This window comes from Homo sapiens, chromosome 10 (genome assembly GCF_000001405.40).
Source record: "Homo sapiens chromosome 10, GRCh38.p14 Primary Assembly".
In the NCBI taxonomy this organism is placed as follows: Eukaryota; Metazoa; Chordata; class Mammalia; order Primates; family Hominidae; genus Homo; species Homo sapiens.
The window spans coordinates 114903207-114919508 of record NC_000010.11 but is presented as its reverse complement, the minus strand read 5'-3'; the positions used below and the strand labels follow the sequence as shown (position 1 = coordinate 114919508).

At 40.9% G+C, this 16302-nt stretch overlaps 2 annotated features.

Moving 5' to 3' along the window:
• Window positions 13785-14079: a silencer, noted in NCBI's record as "tiled region #3306; K562 Repressive non-DNase unmatched - State 24:Quies". NCBI's record gives its function as "represses a minimal TATA promoter and a strong SV40 promoter by Sharpr-MPRA in K562 cells {active_cell/tissue: K562}" and the evidence as "EXISTENCE:reporter gene assay evidence [ECO:0000049][PMID:27701403]".
• Window positions 13785-14079: an enhancer, noted in NCBI's record as "tiled region #3306; HepG2 Activating DNase matched - State 9:DNaseU". NCBI's record gives its function as "activates a minimal TATA promoter and a strong SV40 promoter by Sharpr-MPRA in HepG2 cells {active_cell/tissue: HepG2}" and the evidence as "EXISTENCE:reporter gene assay evidence [ECO:0000049][PMID:27701403]".

Sequence of the window (16302 nt, the reverse complement as noted above, 5' to 3'; positions counted from 1 at the left end):
CTAAATGGCAATTTTTAAATTAAAAAAATCAATCTAAGAAATAAGACTTCTGCTTCTATATTAATTTCCTTCATAAAGGATCACTTTAAATGCCATTCAGCAGCTGCAACAGTCAAGTCAGGATTAGATTTGGTTGCATATATCAGTAAACCTAAACAATAGTGACTTAAACAAGAAAACGTCCAGAAATAGGTAGTCCAGTGGTGGCATGGTGATTCCATGGTCAATCGGAGACTCACACTCCTTATTTCTTTCTACTCTACCTTATTTCACGTGTGCCTTCTATTCTTAAAGTTATGTACAAATATGGCAGCAGGAGTGCTCCCCTATACCTCCATATTGTTCATACAGAAAACAGGAAGAAAGACAGAAATAGAGAAGGACAAGAGAGAGAGCATCCTGGCTGAGTTAGTGCCCTGTAGGGAGCAATATCCCCGAACCCACATCCATCAATTTCTGTTTATATCTCAATTGAGCTGTAGTTTCAAGGGAAGCTAGAAAAATGTGGTCAGTGCTACCAAGAATATAATCAAGATAAAAGAGGACAGCAGATATTGTGCAGGCAAGTAGCAGCAAATTATTTTATTTAACAGTTAAAATGCTTTGGCTGCAAATAACAGAATACCTAAGAATAAATGGCTTACACAGTACCTTTTATCCTACAAATGAAGGGTGGTTCAGGGTTAGTGCAGCAACTCAACAAATGTTATCAAGGTTCAGGTACCTGCCATCTTTCTGTTATGCCAGTCATAATATACCAACAATGTATTTCTTTATGGTCAAAAGAAAGACCATAATGGTTGTAGGATGCCCTCACATTACAACATCCGAACATGGGAAGGCACAAGTTCTCATTTGTGTTCCTTCCAGGAAGAAACCTTCCCTGAATTTCTCCCACCAGACTCAGTGAGCATCACATGCACACACTTAAACCAATCATTAGCAAAAGTAATAGATTACAACAAGTGGTTTAGACTGACTCATCAACAATTCCCTCCCGGGGTTCAGTATGTGGGAAGGTAAATACTTGAACAAAACCAGGGCTCAGTTATCAAGGAAGAAAAGAGGTAGGCACGAAAGTGGGGAGGAGTGGCTATTGGATCCATAAAAGTTCCTGTTTGCCACACATACTCTGTTTTACAAAACGCAGTGATGTACAACTGTTCTTCTGAGTTGTACATATTTAGGAAATTCCATGATACCTCACTCATTACTTAAATAGTATTTTCTTTCAAAAGGGCAAGACACAAGCCTGACAGCAGACAATGAATGAATCATTAAACATTAATTCACAGGTGCAGATTTCTATAAGTTGTAGAAAAATAAAAGGAGCTACCTTTTGATGAAGAGCAGTAGTACTCATTAAGTGTTACACTTTTAGCATTACAATGGCATTAGGGGAAAAGGACAAAAAAGGACCCATTATTTTAAAATTAAAATAACAATCAAATAATTTGCATTCTCCCACAGAGATGATCATACATTTTTATTGGATGTTCTCTTTAAATCCCTAAGGACTTTCACTGGTCAATGTAAAATTAAGTCTTTTCTTTTTTCCATAATAACCTTGTTTGTGAGCCTTATTGTATGTACTCCCCACTCTTACCCCAAATAAAGCAGCCCAGTCTCTGTATGTTGAAGGTTTGAATTTCCTTAGCTACAGGAAGAATTATTTGGTGTAAGTTCTCAAACCCTAGGCCCATAGAGGTTTAAAACCTAAGGTCTCAAAACCTAAGCCCCAGGGTGTTTCTGGGAGTTGAGGCAGAGACAAGCAAACATGGTAGAGTTAAATTCCCTGGGACTGAGTAGGGGAGTAAAACATGGTGGCAAGTTCTACAGTGTGTGAGGTGCATTCCCACCCAGCTCTTTGGAGCTCACTAGTTGTCTGATATGCCTGTATGGAGATCGTATCCCCAGTACTGTGGCCTGGAGAGCAGCCTCTGGCCCATGGGAGTTTCTGTGGCAGGATTTTTGAAGCCCACCCAAAGCACTGGTGCCCAGCAACAGAGCATATAGTTGAAGAAGCCATCAGGAAAGATGGCAATTATTGTGGAATCCGGGCTGTCCTTATTTTCTTAAAGTCAAGTAAATTCTTGGATGCTTAGGATCCAATGGAGACTGGGAAGGAGTTTCAAAGTGACAAAAACTACCAGCATCTATCCAATATTCATTCTTTCTAAATAACAAAACTGCTAAGTTACCAGAGGCAGCTGTACCTGCCTTAAACACTGCATTACCTACCTTTCTCACACCTGGGGTCAATGAAAAGAAGAAGTCATCAACAGGGGCTTTAGAAAAAGGCCATATGCTCTTTGGGCTTTCCCTTCCTCCTGCTGGAAATGAGGAAATCATGTCTGGAAGTCCAACAGCTATCTATTAATCCTGAGGATGAGAACCACTCATTAAAAATTACAGAGCAGGAATATAGGAAGGGATCCAGTTCCTAGCTCAGGGGTCCCTCCATCAAGAATTTTACATGAGATATTAACCCTTCCCTTTTTTAGCATTGTCGATCCATCTCTGTTATTGACAGAAGCACTAACCTCCTGTAAAGGACATGGCATGCTTTGGTCAAGGAATAGGCCAAGGCAGACATTCAGGCCTGCATGACTCAGCGGGATTGGTGCGCAGGTGCACACCTCCACTTGTTATATAACCTGTTTATGTAAGCGCATATTTGACTTGGAGCCACTATTGTTTCAAAAGGTATAACTGCCCTGCTTCTGCTGTACAGGCGCTCGTGGACATGGCTTGGCACAGCTCGGCATGACATTTGGCGTAGTCATGGACCTGACACCTCCTAACCAGTTCATATATTTCTGACGACCTCGGAAGTACTATTACAACTGATTCTTTTTGTTGTTGTTGTTGTTAACATAATGAAGGACTGATTAATCCTGGAGTCAGAATTCAAGCACAGTTTTATCTGGCTCTAAAGCTTACACTTTTAATTATCAAGCTATCTGCTAAGTCAAGCTGGAATGACGTTTATGCAAAGGGGAGAAGCGGTGTAGATACCAGAGCAAAAACCAGATAACCAGAAACCAATGGAAAGAATTCTTAGAGGAATGTGTGTATGTGTGTATTTGTGTGTGCTCATAGTAACAAAGCCCCCCAAATACAATCATGCTGATGAGGCAGCTCCATCTGTTTCTGAACCCTGATCATTGCACTTGAGATATTTCTGAGCTTGAAACCTCAAGTCAAAATTAAAAATATGCCTAGCAGTAAGTCCACTAATTGAATTAATTTAGATGCCAATCCTGATAAGTCAAATCCCAAAGAAAAAATTTTGATCTGAATTAACTAGTTTAATTGTCTGCAAAGTCCAAATTGACCAAACAATTGCAAGTTAATCCCTTCATTTAATGGTTTGTACAGCCTCCCATTGGAAATGGGATATTGGTACTCTTGGAATTCTCTGCCTCTGTAACAGGTGTGACTCCTTTCACCAGGCTCAGGTATAAATGTCAGGGGACATTTGGCAATGTATGGAGACATTTTGGTAGTCACAGCTGGGCGATGTTACTGGCATCTAGTGAGTAGAAGCCACGGATGCTGCTAAACACCTTGCAATGCATAGGACAGCCCCCTGAACAGAATTACCCAGGCCAAAACACCGGTACTGTTACTGCTGAGAAACTGTGCACTAGTCAAACAGTACTCAGTGAAGGGAGAATTAGGAACTTTAACCTGCTAATAACAGCCCAATCCGTTATTTCGGGCTTCAAAGTAATATTTAAACCTGGCCTGTTGATTCATCAAATTAAGCAGGTAATTGATCATACTGCATTTCGCTTTTCCATTGTAGATGCAGCCAAAATGTGTAGCTGATAGGTTTCTAAAATCCTTCATCCTTTCCCTTTCAAGTCTTTCTGTTTACTGGAAGGTCGTTAAGTTGCTTTGCTTTTGAAGTCCATTTATTACTTCCAGATCTAGTGCAGTCTATTTAGTCTTTCTTAATGCTGTCTAGTAAAACATTAATGAGAAGCTCACGCATGGTCATAGAATTTGTCTGATTACCTCATTCATTTTTAATGAGCTTGCTGCTTACACTTCAGGATGACATGACAGAAATTGGATAATGTAATTCCTTCTGGGTGGAGTGCCCCTAAATTTGGCTCTGAATTATTAATCATGTAGGCTGGGGACACTAAAAAGTCTTTTGCCCATAAATTTATCTAAATCTTTGACTACATAATTTCTATCAATATATTCTCTTCCCAGAAATTTCTTTTAAGCAATGTTTGTGGCTGAAAACATCTGATTTTCTTCTGAGTGCAGTCCTCAGGATTTAAAACCTGAGAAATTTAGCTTCATCATAAGATTCAAACTTGAACAAAGGTGAGTCATTATTTTAAATGTTAATTTGCAGCTTCTAGAATCAAGGCAATGTCTTTAATTCTAGGTACATATATTTATGTATCTAGATCATCTAAGGTTATTATACATTTTAAAATTCTCATCTTATGGATTTTTGGCACAAATTTTCATTAATATTCTACTAGTTTTGCAGCTATTTAGTAATATATTAATAAGTCCCATGGTAGCAATGATTACAGAATTACTCGGTTAGTTTCTTTTATAGGTGGAAACACGTCAGTAAAATAAAAGGTTAAATTAGTTTTCCTAGTCAAAAAAACTAGACCTTTTGCATCTCATCTCTTTTCTAAGAATAAAGCAACCATTTCTTTCCAGTAGAGCAAGAATCATAGTGAAAGTCAGACTATAAAGTTTCATGAAGACTTCTAGGTAATCCTGACTCTACCAATTCTAACTACCACATCCCAAAACAACAACAAACTAATTTCTGTCAGTTCATGGGAGCTATAAACCAATTCAAGCTGTGTTCATGTGTTTAGTCCAGAATCGTTATAAAACATCACAAAAGCAGCATTCTACTGAATTAATTAGCCTCAGCTCAACACAGGAGTACAATCAGGATGACCAGGCCTCTGCTAATCCAGCCCTTATTTCTCTCAGCCAAAACCTATTAGATTGACTGAAAGCTAGGGTGATAAAGTTGCAGTGAATGTTTTGCAGCACAACAAATAAGACAGTCAAGCTGGTCATTTTGGTCATGTAGATTGACTTAACTGTTAGGATTTAAGGGGGCTCATTCTGAATCAGGTGAGAAATAGGCCCAAAGTCAAATGGAGGTCAAAATATTAGATTTATTGCTAGTAAAGCTGGACTGGAATAAGGGGCTTGAATCTATGACAAAGTCAGGCTTAATCTTTCTCTTTTCTGAGTTCTCCTAGATAGATACGCCTGAGGACCAGCTGTCTGCAGGGGTAGGGTTTGCCCTTGTGCCTGTCACCTGAAGAAATAAAGGATATTTGTGTCCTGTGAACAGCCTAGCTAAGAAAAGATGTATGCCAGTAGCTCAATGCACCTCTATAAATCCCACCGCAGGAAAAAGCCTGCAAAAGAAGGAAGGTGGAAGCCTTTATCCAACACTTCCAAGAGCCTGGAAGTCCCTAATTTGAGGGCCAAGGCTGAAAAGCCAGGAGGAGAAAATGACTCCCACCTACCTAAATATCTCACTGCTTTGCAAAACGAGAACTGAATTTTTCAGTTTTTAGTAATCATACTTTAAGGATGGAAATAGAAATAGTCTCTCTCCTTAAAACAGATTTTTTTTTTTTTTAAGATCGTTTGAGATGCAGTATTGAATTTCTGGCTCAGAATTGGAGAAAGTATTTAACTTCATCAACTAGTGCTTTTTTGTGGAGATGACCGGATTATATTAGCCTGAATTATTGAGTCAATCTACAGTCTCTTGCTTTTGATAACAATGTTAGGATTGGACACTTAAGCAACAGTATAGTAAAGGAAGCTTGGGAATAATTTCAAACAGTTATTCTCAACTCTGGCTGAACATTAGAATCACCTGATAAGCTTTAAAAAATAACTATTAATGAGCCAGGTCCAGTGGTGCATGCCTGTAGTCCCAGCTACTGAGGAGGCTGAGGCAGGAGGATAGCTTGAGGACAGGAGTTCAAGGCTGTAGTGTGCTATGATCACATCTGTGAACAGCCACTGCACTCCAGCCTAGACAACATAGCAAAACCTGTCTCAAAAAATATTGTATTGGCTGGGTGCTGTGCCTCATGCTTGTAATCAGCACTTTAGGAGGCCAAGGCGGGCAGATCACTTGAGGTCAGGAGTTTATGCCCAGCCTGGCCAACACGGTGAAACCCTGTCTCTATTCAAAATACAAAAATTATGGCCAGGTGCTATGGCTCACACCTGTAATCCCAGCACTTTGGGAGGCCGAGGCGGGTAGATCACCTGAGGTCAGGAGTTCGAAACATGACGAAATCCTGTCTCTACTAAAAATACAAAAAAAAAAAATTCGCTGGGCATGGTGGCAGGTACCTGTAATCCCAGCGACTCGGGAGGCTGAGGAGGGAGAATCGCTTGAACCCAGGAGGCGGAAGTTGCAATGAGCCGGGATTGTGCCATTGCACTCCAGCCTGGGTGACAGAGCAAGACTCTGTCTCAAAAAAAAAAAAAAAAAAAAAAAAAAAAAAAAAAAAAAAAATTAGCCAGGCATGGTGGCACGCCTGTAATTCCAGCTACTTGGGAGGCTGAGGCAGGAGTATTTCTTGAATCAGGGAGGTGGAGGATGCAGTGAGCCAAGATTGCGCCACTGCATTCCAGCCTGGGTCTGTCTCAAAACAAAAAACAAAACAAAACAAAACAAAAATATATATGTGTATATATACATATGTACACACACACACACACACATGCACATATGTGTATTAATGGCAATCCCCTTTCTTAGAGCTTTTGATTTCATTAGCCTAAAGTGTGACCCAGGCATCTGCATTTGTAAAAGGGCCTCTCTTCTGACAGATGCAGCCCCAGGGCAGAGGTTGGGGTTTGGCTCAGGCTGTGCCTTACCCTTACTCCCCTCTCTGCATCCTGACCTCCTTGATCAATATTGTAGTGGGGGCAAAATTCCACCTCCTTTTTCGTGGTTTCCCAGCTGGGCCTGAGGATTAAATTGACCTAACATAGATTAACAGGAGAAAACCATACAAAGTTATTCAATAGAAGTTTTACATGGCACAGGAGCCCTCATACAAAAATGAAGACCCAAAGAAGCAGTTGAGAGAGTCAATCACATACTGAATTGCACAAATAATAGTAAGTTGTGAAATGTAAGAAGGCAAAGGGGCTTGAGCTGGGGTAGTTAATTGGCTAGAGAAGTGATGAGGCAGATAAGGGTTCGTTTGACAAGGTTGGTTTGTACAAATTTCCCTCAGCTTCAACTTCCTGTCCTTGATGATAAGAATGTTATTCTTTTTGGTACAAGGCCGGTATCTTTCACATGGGATTTTTATGCTCTGCTTCTAAGAAACAGAATGAAGGTCAGAGTGATCTTCTTGCACCTGCTGCTTTTGTAAAAGCGTCTTTAATTCAAAATAGTCATTATGCCAGAGCAGTGTATTTTGGGGCGGCATATTTTTGACTTCTTCAGTACAAAACTGCATAAGTATTCATAGCAGCCCAAATCCCCAGGCCCTACCTCATAGATGTGGAGTAAAGCCCTGGGCTGTTGAGTAGGAAGTAGAAAGGACACTGAATAAAGTACAGCCACAAAAGTACTGAATTAGAAGCCGCAGACCTGGGGGCTAATCTGAGGTCTGTCCCTTACAAACTGTGTAACCTCAGAGACATCCACTGTCTGGGCCTCTGTCCCCTCCTTTGTTAAAATGTATAATGGGAATGTCTGGAGTCTCGGTTTTAGCTTTGGGGAACTCTAGATCTGGTTTCATTCCATCTAATTCAAGGACAGGTGTAGGGAGTTTATTACTCTAGGTTAAAAGTAAGTCTTCTATAGTAGTTGCAGAGACGGCACTAAAAGCAGCTTTCTCCCATTAGATAAGCAGCCTTTTGCCCAGAGACACAGAGTGACAGAGTCAGGATAAAACAAGCTTTGTTGTTGAATCCCATCCTCCTAAGAGCCAGTGGGGAAAAAAGGGAGGAGCCCTGGCCAAAGGTAGGAGCTTAAGGGGTGTAAGTCTCACCACTCCTGGCAGGATCAGAGGCTTGCTCAAGGTAGAGAAGGATGGGTGGGCCCTTCTGCTTACAGAGGATCCTCAGGGAAACTGGCTTCAACCCTGCTCACGAAGAGTGGAAACTGAACTTCCTTCCTTTGGCAGATCTCAGCAAACCTAGATCTGGTCATCAGAATGTTGCTTTAACCAGTGGTTCTCAAACCTTAGCGTGCATCAGAATGACTCAGAAGGAGTATTTAGACCCAGATTGCTGCCCTCCACCCCAAGAGTTTCTAATTCAGTAGGTCTGAGAATTCGCTGTTTCTGTTGATCTGGGGACCACACTTTAAACTCTACTGCTTAGGCTATCTTAGGAAGAACCACTAGGTTCTCCCTCTACAAGGCAGTTGCCATGACTTTGGGCCACTAATATCCTTCTGAAAACTTCTGAATCCACTTGTATTTTGTGTGTGTGTGTTTGTGTATGAAAGATGTGTCTACTCTTTAGGTTTCATCAGGATTAATGTACAATACTATTGGTTGGGCGCGGTGGCTCACACTTGTAATTTCAGTACTTTGGGAGGCCGAGGCAGGCTGATCACTTGAGGTCAGTAGTTGGAGAGAGCCTGGACAACATGGTGAAACTCCGTCTCTATTAAAAAATACATATAAAAATTAGACAGGTGTAGTGGCACATGCCTGTAATCTCAGATACTTCGGAGGCTGAGGCACGAGAATTGCTTGAACCCAGGAGCCAGAAATTGCGGTAAGCTGAGATGGCGCCACTGCACTCCAGCCTGGATGACAGAGCGAGACTCTGTCTAAAAAAAAAAAGTATGATACAATTGTTAACCAAAAATACATTTGTCATTCTTTTAAACCACAAATACAAAAAATAAATAATTAAGAAACCCTGGCCACGTGCTGTGGCTCACGCCTGTAATCCCAGCACTTTGGAAGGCCAAGGGGGGCAGATCACGAGATCAGGAGATTGAGACCATCCTGGCTAACATGGTGGAACCCTGTTGCTACGAAAAGTACAAAAAATTAGGCGGATATGGTGGCACACACCTGTAATCCCAGCTACTTGGGAGGCTGAGGCAGGAGAATCACTCAAACACAGGAGGTGGAGGTTGCAGTGAGCCGAGATTGCATCACTGCACTCCAGCCTGGGTGACAGAGCAAGACTCTGTCTCAAAAAAAAAAAAAAAAAAGAAAAGAAAAAAAAAGAAAAGAAACCCTATGCACATATGCAAAAACACTTGACCTTTTATGTGACAAAATAACAACAGATAAAGACCACACTGAGATTTGCTTCTACATATCTTCATTGAAAGTTTTTAAAGTTCAATATCGTGACTAGTATTGTCTTCACAAATATACATTTTCTCCACTTATAGCCTAGAGATCATTTAACTTTTTTGCTATTGTAAATAATACCTCAATAAACATGTACCGATAATACTTTTTTTCTGCATTTTGGACTGCAAATAGTTATACTGAGTGAAATTATTCTTCATGCTCATTTTAGAAAATCCTTTTCCCAGCAAATCATTCTAACCATCCTCCCACCCCATCCTGCTCCCTGTCCCCCAACTTTCAGTCCTGGGGCCATGTTCAGCTGTGGTTACACTAAATATTCATTCATTCGAACAATATTTATTGGATACTTACTATGGGTCTGTGCTATATGCCAGGGATACAGTGGTAGAAAAGACAATTACGGTTCCTACATCTATGGACTTACATATTGACAGAGATGAGAGACAGAGATCAAGTAAATGCAAGTTAAATATTTACTATGGAGAAACAAATGAGGTGCTGAGATAAAGATTAATAGACATGCATTCATGTCTATTAATGGTGGTCACCAAGGAAGGCCTCTCTGAGGTGACATTTAAGCTGAAACTTAGAACAGGGAGTAGCTAGTCATGCTACTGTGGGTAGAATAGTCCAGTCAAAAGTAACCGTATGTGCAAAGGCCCTGTGGTGGGAAGAGTTTCTGGTAGAGAAACTGAAGGAACGGTGCAGCTACAACTGAGGAAACAGTGAGAGAGAGGCAGGATTCAATCGTAAAATGCTTTGTAAGCCATTATAAAAAGTTAGGGTTTTACTTTCATTGAAATGGATGGTTTTAAGCCAGGGAGTTATCAGATTATTGTTTTAAGAAGATCACTTTTGCTGTTGAGTGAAGAAACAATTAAAGGAGCAAGAGCGGAAGTGAGAAGACCAATTAGAAGGTTGTTGTGGGCTCCAGGCAAGTGATGGCGCAAAATCGGACTACAGTGGGATTGTGGAGATGGTGAGTAAAGGACATTTATTTGGAGGTAAGCTCTGTGGAATTCCCTGATATGAGGGATGAGACAGTGAAGAAAAGGGAGGAATCCAGGGTGACTCCTAGGTTTCTGGCTTGAGTAATGGAGGGAGTAGTTATATAATTTACAGACATGAGTAAGACTTGGCAAGTGAAGAAAAGATTGCTCAGGAGGCCACTGAAGTGGGGATCCTGAAGCAGTTTCCCAGGAACCGCCTCTAAGGAAGCTCGGCAAGGGGAGACTATGGGACCAACACCCAGTTTTCTCTTCCTATGTCCATGATCTCTCTTCTTTGGGAATCTTCTCCCCAAAACTAGGCTATGGGGTGCCATCATCTTCCCAGTTACCTAACTCAAGACCACAGCCCCTCTTGACTCCTCTTTCTTGCTACCTACATTACTTTTCAGGATTTCGCTGAATCACAAAAGGAAAACAGAAAGATAATAAAAACTTTCATGTTTTTATTTATTTATGAGACGGAGTTTTGCTCTTGTTGCCCAGGCTGGAGTGTAGTGGTGCGATCTCGGCTCACTGCAACCTCCACTTCCCGGGTTCAAGTGATTCTCCTGCCTCAGCCTCCCAAGCAGCTGGGATTACAGGCACACGCCCCCACTCCTGGCTAATTTTCATATTTTTAGTAGAGATGGGGTTTTGCCATGTTGGCCAGGCTGGTCTTGAACTCCTGACCTCAGGTGATCCACTTGCCTTGGCCTCCCAAAGTGCTGGGGTTACAGGCATGAGCCACCATGCCCAGTCAGAAAGATAATAAAAACTTTTAAAATTCTAATTCCTGGTTCCTTTATTTTATTCATTCATGCTAAACAGAGGCCCAAAGGGGTTGTGTGCCTTGAGACTTTATTTCTGAGAGGGGACTTACTATGGTCTGAATGTTTGTGTCACCCCAAAATTCATATGCTGAAACTGAACCCCCAAGGTGATGGTATTAAGAGGTTGAGGCTTTGGGGGATAATTAGGTCATGAGGGCAGAGTCCTTATGAATGGGATTACCAGATACTGAATCTGCTGGCACCTTGATCTTGGACTTCCCAGCCTTCAGAACTGTGAGCGGTAGATGTCTGTGGTTTATAATTTACCCAGCCTAAGGTATTTTGTGATAGCAGCCCAAACAGACTAAGGCAGGACTTCACCAACTTCTCCATCTCGAATCCTCTTATCCTTCCCCTTCCCCTTTGGACTAAGCCCTAGGTCTGACAGACTGTTTTCTCCTGCCACACTTCACTTCATACAGTGCAGGGTTGTGAGGCCACCAAGTGCCTTCTCTTCTTACGTTTGTGTATTCATTTCCTAGGGTCACCATAACAAATTGCCATAAGTTGGGTGGCTTTACACAACAGAAATTTGTTCTGGTGGTTAGATGCCCAAAATCAAGGTGTTGGAAAGACCACGCTCCCTCCAAAGTCTCTAAGGGAGAAGTTGTCATTGCCTCTTCTAGCTTCTGGTAGCCCAGGTATTCCTTGCCTGGAGGCAACATCACTCAGCCTGGCCTCTGACTTCACATGGCAGTCTTCCCTCTGAGTCTATGTCCAAATTTCTCTCTCCTTGTAAAAATACCAGTTATATTGGATTAAGAGCCCACCCTTTTTCAGTATGACTTCAGTTTCACTTAACTAATTACTTCTACAATGATTCTGTTTCCAAATAAGGTCACATTTTGTGGTACTGGGAGGCTAAGGCTTTAACATATCTTTTGGGGGATGCAATTCAACCCATAATGGTAAGAAATTTGCATTGCTTTTAATTACAGATCCCGTGACATCCTACAGTTTCTCTACACACAACCCACAGTGGACCACAGTGGACTGGTCCCATTTGGGCATTCCTTCTATACTAGCCTGGTAGTCTCAGAAACTTCGTTGAGTCCTGGAGGTGAAGGATCTGTATAGCTCATCCCACACTGTCATATAATCAGGGTACTTGCTTGCAAATTTTCAATATGAAAAACAATTATTAGACATGCATAATGTTTGTGTTGGCTTGATTACTGCATTTTTTCCCATGTAGGCAAGCTCCATGGGACGTCAAACTATCAGACAGTTGCTTGGAGAGAATGGAAGAAGCTGGAGGTAGGGGAATCAGAGGCAGGAGTTTTACAACTTGAACATTTGGTAGCATCCACCCAGGACTACAATAAGAAGACAGAAGGGCCTCTACCTATGCTCAGTGCTTAGATGAACGCTGCTAGTCTTGTCTTTGACAAGTGATTTTTATCTCCTTGGCTGACCAAATCCTCCCCTGCCCTTTTTTTGTTAGATACATTATTATATCTTCAATCTGGTTAATGTCCATTCTTATTGCCTGGGGAGCCACTTGACCGCTTTAAGGTACTTGCTAATCTCTGCTCTGATCCATTAGGAATTCATTTAGAGTTTAACTCTCTGAGGGCAACTTCATTTCTAAGGCTTGAGGACCACAGTGCAGTAACAAACAGAGGAGAGGAAGGTAGAGGTCCCAGCAAAGGGGGCTGCCTCATTGGGACAGTATATTGCAAACCCTCAGGAAGGCAGGAGGATAACAGGAAGACCCTAAGGAAATGAGAGACTCAGGGTGAGGGGTGACAAACAGGAAAAAGGAAAAGTGAATGCCAACCTCGACTTTGCAATTTTCCCTAGAGCCAATTCTGACAGTATCCTCCTGCCTCTTTACAAAGAGCAGGCAGCGAAAACTGAGATGACAACAATTTTTTTTTCCTCTGTAAAGCTGGGCTCAATTTGAGACAGAATATTAATGGCAAAAGGCTTAATATCTCATTATCAATCCCCATGAGCATAGAGTCCCCAGAAAAGATAAATATTTGACTAGATGATGATAATATGTGTGATAATTTATAGTCAGCATTCCACATGCATTTTCATTGAATCTTCTACTACTTCAGAGTGGGCTATGCAACAATTATATACATATGTATTTTAAATTCTGAACTCAGGATCTGAGGATCATTAAGCCCATATAACTCTTCAAAAAAAGAGCAGTTTCCTTATTGATTACCCAGGACAGGCAACAGAATGTCTACATTCTTTCCCTTTATCTTTCAGTTCATTGAGTAAAAATAGATTGAGGCTTACCCCAGTTTTCTCAAAATCTTGCTTGAAGGTGAACATGAGGTCACCTTAATGGCTATCAAAACCATTTCTTATTGCCAGGCTTGAAAAAGTTTTCCCAATTCTCTGAAATTCTGTCTTTGGGGGAACTTCAACCTCTTTCTAACTTCTAATTAGCCTTTCTTCAAGGACAAGAGTTAGTGGAAAGTGAAAAAAAGTCGGAGAGGCTGCTTGGGGCACCTAGGTTGCAAAAGTAATTGGACTCCTTTCATCTCTTCCTCTGTGCTAATTCTAGGGATTAATACTGTTGTCTGTAAAATATCCTTTGAAACCAAGCCTCCCAGAGAAGGTATTGATGTATACAAGCAGACACAATTCCCAGATGGACTACTGGCTGATTTATGCTGATCCATGCACCTACACCCTCACAGATTTGTCTTCAATGACAACTCTTATGAGTCATTCTTGCATGGACTCTTCATAGACAGCCTATTATAGATCCTTCCAAATCCCTGTAGTCAGTGCATTCTGGATTCAAGTACTTTTCCACTAGGTGGGGGAATGTTTTTCTAGTGGAAAAGGAATCTTCCATTCATTTGGACATGGGGTAAAAATGACTGGCAGAAAATGTGTTGTCTCAAAAGACTCCATTGCAAAAGCTCTTTATTTTCACATTGCTAAAAGATGCAGTTAAGTGGATTTTTTAAAAAATTAAGGAGCAGTCTGTTCTCAAAGATAAATGTATCCTTTGATTCATTCAACAAATATTTATTTAGTAGCTACTCAGAAGATACTTTTAAGATACTTTCTCCATTACTTTTCAACTAACAAATCAATGTTTGTAGGAAGAGGCACTAGGTTTAAAGTATAACTTTAAACTCTCATGGAGCATATATTTTGGTGAGGAAGATAGATAATAAGGAAGTGAAGGGCACAAAGAAACCTAACAGCTTCCAGTAGTGATAGGCTTTGGATTTTTTTAAAAGAAATGAATAGGGTAATTGGAGGGTAACTGGGTGATAGCGTTTGGATGTTTGTCTCCTCCAAATCTCATGTTGAAGTGTGATCCCCGGTGTTGGAGGTAGGGCCTGGTGGGAGGTGTTTTTGTCATGGGGGTGGAGCCTTCATGAAGGGCTTGCTACCATTCTTGTGTAATGAGTGAGGTTTTCACTCTATTAGTTCACAAGACAGCTGGTTGTTTAAAATGAGTTTGGGACCTCCCGTCTTCCTCTCTCTTGCTCCCTCTCTCACCATTTGACGTACCTGCTCCCCCTTCATATCCTACCATGATTGCAAGTTTCCTGAGACCTCACCAGAAGCCAAGCAGATGTTGGTGCCATGCTTGACAGCCTGCAGAACTCGGAGCCAAATAAAACTCTTTTCTTTATAAATTACCTAGTCTCAGGTATTCCTTTATAGCAAGGCAAAACAGACTCACATACTGGGGAAGGAAGTTTTATATAGGGTGATCATGCGGGGCCATCCTGATGAAGTCATGTTTAAACCAAAACCCGAAAGATGAGAAGACAGTCGTGAGAAGTGAAGGAAGAGTCTTCCAGGCAGAGGGACTATCAAAAGCAAATATCTCAAAGCCAAAACGGGCACAAGTGGCCTTTTTGGAACATAAAGGAGCCAGCACGTCTGACTGAAGGTGAGATGAGAACAGGTAAGTAGGTGGGAGCTTTCCAAGGGGAGATCTGATTGGCTATGGCAAGAGATTGGATTTTTAAGAGCACAGTGGTGCCATTATGGGATTTCAATGATATGAGTCTTGTGGTCTGCCAAAAGATGACCTGTTCAATAAACTTAAACATTGACCAAAACTTTGTTCTTTTAATTTATTTATTTAAATTTATGTTTAAAGTTTAGAGCTCTCTCCCTGTCTTGCAGCATCTCAAATTGAATGCAGTACTTTTAACAGCTTTTGAAGGTTCCTGTGAAGTTTTTGTTGACTGGTTCTGATTTTATCTCCCTAGCAGCATATTAGGGAATGGTCAGATAGTCAAATGGCCACAAATTATAGAGAGGTTTAGTATTCTGATGAATATATTTAATATCATAAATCAACTCTAACCAACACCTTAATGTTTCATTGAGGGATTTTTATGTTTATATTAATTTCTTTCTAACTCTTTTTAGGTCACTCTTAAAGTTTAATTTTCTAATATTTTAGTACTTTTAAGATACTTTCTCCATTACTTTTCAAGTAACAAATCAATGTTTGTTTGTAATTTTTATTATCCATAGCCCTTATTTATTATATAATGTGATTGCTCTCATCACTGTCTGGTTCATTTCTTCATTTAGCCTTTTAAGGGTTTTTTTTTTTTTAACCCTTTTTAAATTCCTCCTTTACAGTTTGTTGTTGGTGGTGGTGGTGGTGGTTTTTTTGTTGTTGTTGTTTATTTGTTTGTTTTTGAGACAAGGTCTCCCTCTGTCATCCAGGCTGGAGTGCAGTGGCATGATCCCGGCTCACTGCAGCCTTGACCTCCTGGGCTCAAGCGATCCTCCCACCTCAGCCTCTCAAGTAACTGGGACCACAGGCACATGCCACTACACCCAGCTAATTTTTTGTATTTTTTGTAGAGATGGGGTTTTGCCATGTCACCCAGGTTGGTTTTGAACTCCTGAGCTCAGGTGATCCACCCACCTCAGCTTCCCAAACTGTTGGGATTACAGGTGTGAGCCACCATGCCGGGCCTACAATTTCATGTTTATGGTTAAGGTAACTCAAGTTTGAACTATTAATCATACAGTCTGTTATGCTAACCCCTTTTAGGTATTCTTTCTAGTAAGTTGAATAATTTTCCTTTTCCACATTGAGTTCTTCTGCAAACTGTTACTGAGTCTATGTATACAATTTTTCCTGGTTAGAACTAAAAATGTTAGCATTTATTACATGGTAGGGTTTTATAA